Raw genomic sequence first — 6,541 nt, 5'->3', positions numbered from 1 at the left:
TCAGCTTAGTTATTCATTCCCCCATCTGTCTTTTCTGCTGCTCCCTGTCTGTTTTTCTAGGATTATCAACTAGTCAGGTATCAGCAGGCTTCACAGGAGGTTTGGGAAGAGGCATGATGGAAAAACCTTTGCCCATACGGCAGCCAGGTCAAGTGTTCAGGTCATGAAACACAGAAAGGGACACCTCAGTTCCTGGGGTCTGTAAGAAAGTGGAAAAGGGAGCAGGGAGTTGTCCTGGCCTGTGGTTCATGTGTGGGGCTATGTCATTCCCTGAGGTCTCAGACCTAAAGGATTAAGTGAAGCTTTCCAGTACAGGAAGTGGAGGAGTTGCAGGAGGTGGCCATAGGTCATGTGCAAAGCCGGTTTTCCACCACCCTAACCCCAAATCCTGTTGGATTTCCACCACGTGCCAGGCTCTTTACACACTTGATGTCTTTTATTCCCCTCAACAACTGTGAGTTGAGAAAATATTATCTCACTTTATGGACGTCAAGGTAAGATAAGTGAAGTGATTTTACCAGGTAAGTAGTAGAGCTTGGTTTTGAACCCAGTAATCTCAGGTGAGGCTTTCCTCTCCTGTTATTGAATTAAATTCAAATAATATTCTTTTTATAATAAGTTTTACTCTAACTTGGTCTTTTGTAACTTCAAGGAAGTTGCCTGCAATTATTCTGTTTTTTTTTTTTTTTAAGTTTCTCTCTTTGAATATTTGATTGAACCAAATTTAAAATTTGCCAGCAGGTGGCGACACAAAACCAATAATTCAGGATACCAATCTCGGCGCTTTCCAGAGGACGGAATGGGACTTGCCACTGTGTCCTTCGCAGGTTGGGTGTCTGGCTTCATTTTGTGATTTCTGGGCTACTAGGCCCTCCACTTCTGCTCCCTGGGGGCTCATTCCGGTTTCTTAAAGTCCTCAGGACAAAGTCCCTACACCCTAGCCCTGTCTCACTTCCTGCCACTAATCTTCTCAGGTGACTTAATTCCCCTCTCCTCTCCACACTCTCCCACACACCCATTGCTTTGTCCCTGCTGGCCCCTCTGCCTGGACAACCCCTTATCCACTCCCCCATCTGGCTATTCTTTTTCATCCTTGGGGACTCAGCTAAAAGGTCACCTATGAGGAGCCCACCCTGCCACTGCCCCCCTGCCAGGCTGTGTGGGGCCCTTTCTCTGTGTGTGTCCCTGTTAGAGCACTGGTGGTCCTGGGGTCCTACTCTTTTTTGCTTGACTGCCTTCCTACTAGACATTCCCCTTGAGGGCAGGGACTGTGTCCTTTCTGTGTTAGGCCATTTTTGCATTGCTATAAAGAAATGCCTGAGGCTTGGTAATTAATTAATTAATTAATTTATTTTTAACTTTTCTTTTAAGTTCAGGGGTACATGTTACATACGTAAGTGGGTGTCATGGGGGTTTGTTGTACAGATTATTTTATCACCCATGTATTCAGCCTAGTACCCATTAGTTATTTTTCCTGATTTTCTCCCTCCTCCCACCTTCCACCTTCCGATAGGTCCCAGTGTGTGTTGTTCTCTTCTACGTGTCCAAGTTTTCTCATCATTTAGCTCCCACTTATAAGTGAGAACATGTGGTATTTTGTTTTCTCTTCCTGTGTTAGTTTTCTTAGGATAATGGCCTCCAGCTCCATCCATGTCCCTGCAAAGGACATGATCTCATTCTCTTTTACGGCTGCATAGTATTCCATGGTGTGTATGTACCACATTTTCTTTATCCAGTCTCTCATTGATGGGCATTTAGGTTGATTACATGTCTTTGTTATTGTGAATAGTCCTGCAACGAACATACACATGCATGTGTCTTTATAATAGAATGATTTATATTCCTTTGGGTATATACCCAGTAATGGCATTGTTGGGTCGAATGATATTTCTGTCTTTAGGTCTTTGAAGAATCGCCACCCTGTCTTCCACAATGTTTGAACTAATTTACACTCCCATGAACAGTGTATAAGTGTTCCTTTTTCTCCAAAACCTTGCAAGAATCTGTTATTTTTTGACTTTTTAACAATAGCCATTCTGATTGGCGTGAGATGGTATCTCATTGTGGTTTTGATTTGCATTTCTCTAATGATCAGAGATGTTAAGTATTTTTTCATATGCTTGTTGGCCTCATGTATGTCTTTTTTTGAAACGTGTCTGTTCATGTCCTTTGCCCATTTTTTAGTGGTTTTTCTTTCTTGTAAATTTGTTTAAATTCCTTATAGATGCTGGATATTAGATGTTTGTCAGATGCATAGTTTGCAAAATTTTTCTCCCATTCTGTAGATTGTCTGTTTACTCTGTTGATAGTTTCTTTTGCTGTGCAGGAGCTCTTAAGTTTAATTAGATCCCATTTGTCAACTTTTGCTTTCGTTGTGTTTGCTTTTGGCGTCTTTATCATAAGATCTTTGCCCGTGCCTATGTCCTGAACGATATTGCCTAGGTTGCCTTCCAGGGTTTTTATAGTTTTGGGTTTTACATTTAAGTCTTTAACCCATCTTGAGTTAATTTTTGCATATGGTATAAGCAAAGGGTTCAGTTTCAATTTTCTGCATATGGCTAGCCATTTATCCCAGCACTATTTATTGAACAGGGAATCCTTTTCCCATTGCTTGCTTTCATCGGGTTGGTTGAAGATCAGATGGCTGTAGGTATACAGGTTTATTTCTGGGTTCTCTATTCTATTCCACTGGTCTAGTTCTTGTTCCAGTACCAGGTTGTTTTGGTTACTGTAGCCTTGTAGTATAGTTTGAAATCAGATAGCGTGATACTTCCAGCTTTGTTCTTTTTGCTTAGGATTGCCTTGGCTATTTGGGTTCTTTTTTGGTTCTATATTAATTTTAAAATAGTTTTCTCTAGTTCTGTGAATAATGTCAATGGTAGTTTAATGGGAATAGCACTGAATCTATAAATTGCTTTGGGCAGTATGGCCATTGTAATGATGTTAATTCTTCCTATCCATGAGCATGATATGTTTTTTCATTTGTTTGTATCATGTCTGATTTCTATGAGCACTGGTTTGTAGTTATTCTTGTATAGCTCTTTCACCTCCATCGTTAGCTGTATTCCTAGGTATTTCATTCTTTTTATGGCAATTGTGAATGGGAGTTCATTCATGATTTGGCTTTCTGCTTGATGTCTTTTGGTGTTTAGGAATGCTAGCGATTTTTACACATTAATTTTGTATCCTGAGACTTTGCTGAAGTTGCTTATCGCTTAAGAAGCTTTTGGGTGAGATGATGGGGTTTTCTAGATATAGGATCATGTCATCTGCAAACAGGGATAGTTTGACTTCCTCTCTTCCTATTTGAATGTTCTTTATTTCTTTCTCTTGCCTGATTGCCCTAGCCAGAACTTCCAATACCGTGTTCAATAGGACTGGTGAGAGAGGGCATCCTTGTCTTGTGCTAGTTTTCAAGGGGAGTGTTTCCAGCATTTGCCCATTTATTATGATGTTGGCTGTAGGTTTGTCATAGATGACTATTATAATTTTGAGGTATGTTCGTTCAATACCTAATTTATTGACAGTTTTTAACAGGAATGGATGTTGAATTTCATTGAAGAGGCTTGGTAATTTATAAAGAAAAGCAGTTTTAATTGACTGACAGTTCTGCAGGCTGTACAGAAAGCGTGGCACTGATACCTGCTTCTGGGAAGGCCTCAGGAAGCTTGTGATCATGGTGGAAGGCAAAGGGGGAACAGGTGTCTCACATGGCCAGAGTAGGAGCAAGAGAGCAGGAGGTGCCATACACTTTTAAACAACCAGATCTTGCATGAACTCACTCATCACCAAGGGAATGATGCCAAGCCATTCATGAGGGATATGCCCTCATGACCCAAACACCTCCACTAGACCCCACCTCCAATACCGGGGATTACATTTCAACATGAGATTTGGAGAAGCACAAATATTCAAACAATATCACTATCCATCTCAGTGTTCCTAGTGCCAGGCCCAGAGATTCCTAGTGCCAGCACAGAAGAAAATTTTGAGAGAATGAACAAATACACAAACAAGTGTTTACCGAGAGGGCTAGTGACCTGGTCCTGGGAAATTCCATCCAAGGGCCTTTGTGGAGCCCCAAAGTCCAGAGTCTTTTGTAGACATGGGCAGTCATCATTGCGGGGAGGGTGGCTTTCCTTGGTTTGCAGGGCACGGTGTTTGTGTTTTGTGTTTGGGGCATTTCTTGCTTCATCTTAACAATCTCTTTGAATCTTTTTAAATACTTCCAAGAAAGGATGCACTTTCTTAAGATGTAAAAAAGAGTAATTTAAATAAGTGGAAGGAAAATGCATTTTAATTGCATTATTATACTAATTTATGTCTTCTTCCCCCCTTGAAAAAGTACTTTTTCACAGTATGGAAGCACATTAGGGCTGAGAATTGAGACTAATTGTTTCAGATGGCTGCCGAGAGACAATGTGCTTTGTTTTTACAGCTCTCAAAGCAGGTGGGTAAACAGGCCTATTTTATTCTCTCTACAAGGCCAGGTTGGGTTTCATGAGTCAGGGACCACAGCTGCAGTGCCTGTCCACATAGCATTGTGCTTGGCCCATAGTAGATGCTCAGAAAGCATTTTCTCAGTAGATACGTGAATGAATAATATAGAGAGGTAGGGCTAGGTGCAAGATTGAGAATGATTCAAGATGTCTGGGTCTCTTCCACAACAAAGTCTTGCTAGGTCTGGTTGTAGGGAGAAGAGAAAATGACCAGATATCTGCTGGACTCCTTTGTGTTGCCAGGTGCAGGGCAGCCACTGAACACACGATTTCTCACTGAAGTTTCACAACCACCCTGTGAGGTAAGCCCAGTTTACAGATCAGCGAGTCAAGGCTCAGAGGGGTTAAATAACTTACCCAAGTTCTCATTGTCTCAGAGCGGCAGAGACAGTGTGAGGGTTGGTGGTGTCAGATTCCAACATTCAGGCTCCTTCCTCCTCCTGAGTCAGGCTCTTTTAAACAGTAGCTGCCACATATTGAAGATTTATTGTCTTAGTCCATTTGTGCTGCTATAAAAAAATTCCATAGGCTAGATAGCTTATAAATAACAAGTTTAGGCTAGGCATGGTACCTTATTCCTGTAATCTCAGCACTTTGGGAGGCTGAGGTGGGAGGATAACTTGAAGCCAGGAGTTCAAGACCAGCCTGGGCAACAAAGCAAGCCCCTATCTCTACAAAAAATAAAAATAAAAAATAAACATCACAGAAATTCATTTCTTGTAGTTCTGGAGGCTGGGAAGTCCAAGGTCAAGGCACTGCTGGACTTGATATCTGGTGAGTGCCTGTTTGTTGGTTTATAGTTGGTGCCTGCTTGCTGTGACCTCACATAGTGGATAGGCATGGGCAGCTCTCTGGGGCCTGTTTTATAGGGACACTAATCCCATTTATAAGGCTTCAATCTTATGACTTAATTACCTTCCAAAGGCCCCACCTCCATCACCTTGGGGTTTAGGTTTCAACAGGTGAATTTTGGAGGAACACAAACATTCAGACACAGCACTTACTATGTGCAGGCACTAAGCTAGGCCCCTCCTCTAGATTATCCTAGTATCTAGCACATAGTGAGTATCAAGTAAATGGTAGTAATTACTGTTAAGAATCTTCACAAAGTCCTTTTGAAAAAAGTATTGTTATTTCCACTGTGTAAGTCAGTGCTTGCTAAACTTCAATAAAATACAGATTCTGATTCTGTAGTTCTGGGGTGTGGCCTAAGATTCTGCATGTCTACCAGCTTGATCTTGTTGGTCAGGAGCACGCTTTAAGTGACAGGGGTGTAGACAGTAGAACTGGAGCTCAAAAGAAGAAACTGACTTGCCATGCACACCAGCTATCAGGCCTGGGTGCATCTGGTGCTAAAGCTCAGCTTCCTTCCCTCACATTCTCCTGCCTCTTAGTCTCTGAGTCCAGTCCCCCGATCTTGAAAGCAGACTACCTGCAAGGCTGTTTTCTCCACGTGTGGTCAGGATCCTCTGCACTGGGACCTCCCAGGGGCCATCTCATGGTGCTCAGGAACAGGTACACCCCTGAATGAGACCACTGCTCCAGGCCAGATCAATCCATCCACTGAAATCATTTTTGTTTTTGCCTGGATGTTGTCTTCCATTATGTCACCTTTTTTTTTCATTAGTGGCTTGATTGAAATATAATTTACATACCATAAAATTCATTCATTTAAAGTGTACAAGTCAGTGGTTTTTAGTATATTCACAGAAGTATGCAACCATCATCACAATAAATTTTGCAACAGTCTAATCATTTCCCAAAGAAACACTGTACCCTGTAGCTGTCACTTTCCAATCTCTCTAGCCCTCGGCAAGCACTATTCTGCTTTCTATCTTTATAGATTTACCTCTTCTGGACATTTCACGTAAATGAAATCATAAATGTGACTGTCTTCTTTCACTTTGCATAATGTTTTGAAGATTCATGCATGTTGTAGCATGAGTATTTCATTCTTTTTTTATGACAAAATAAATTTCCATCCTATGAATATACCACATTTATGCACTCATCACTTGATGGGCATTTGGATTGTTCCCACT

General features: G+C 41.5%; 1 annotated feature.

Moving 5' to 3' along the window:
* Nucleotides 744-793: an enhancer, noted in NCBI's record as "active region_20619". NCBI's record gives its function as "activates an Ori minimal core promoter by ATAC-STARR-seq in GM12878 lymphoblastoid cells {active_cell/tissue: GM12878}" and the evidence as "EXISTENCE:reporter gene assay evidence [ECO:0000049][PMID:35858748]".

This window comes from Homo sapiens, chromosome 3 (genome assembly GCF_000001405.40).
Source record: "Homo sapiens chromosome 3, GRCh38.p14 Primary Assembly".
NCBI lineage: Eukaryota > Metazoa > Chordata > Mammalia > Primates > Hominidae > Homo > Homo sapiens.
This window is presented reverse-complemented; position numbering and strand designations above follow the sequence as displayed.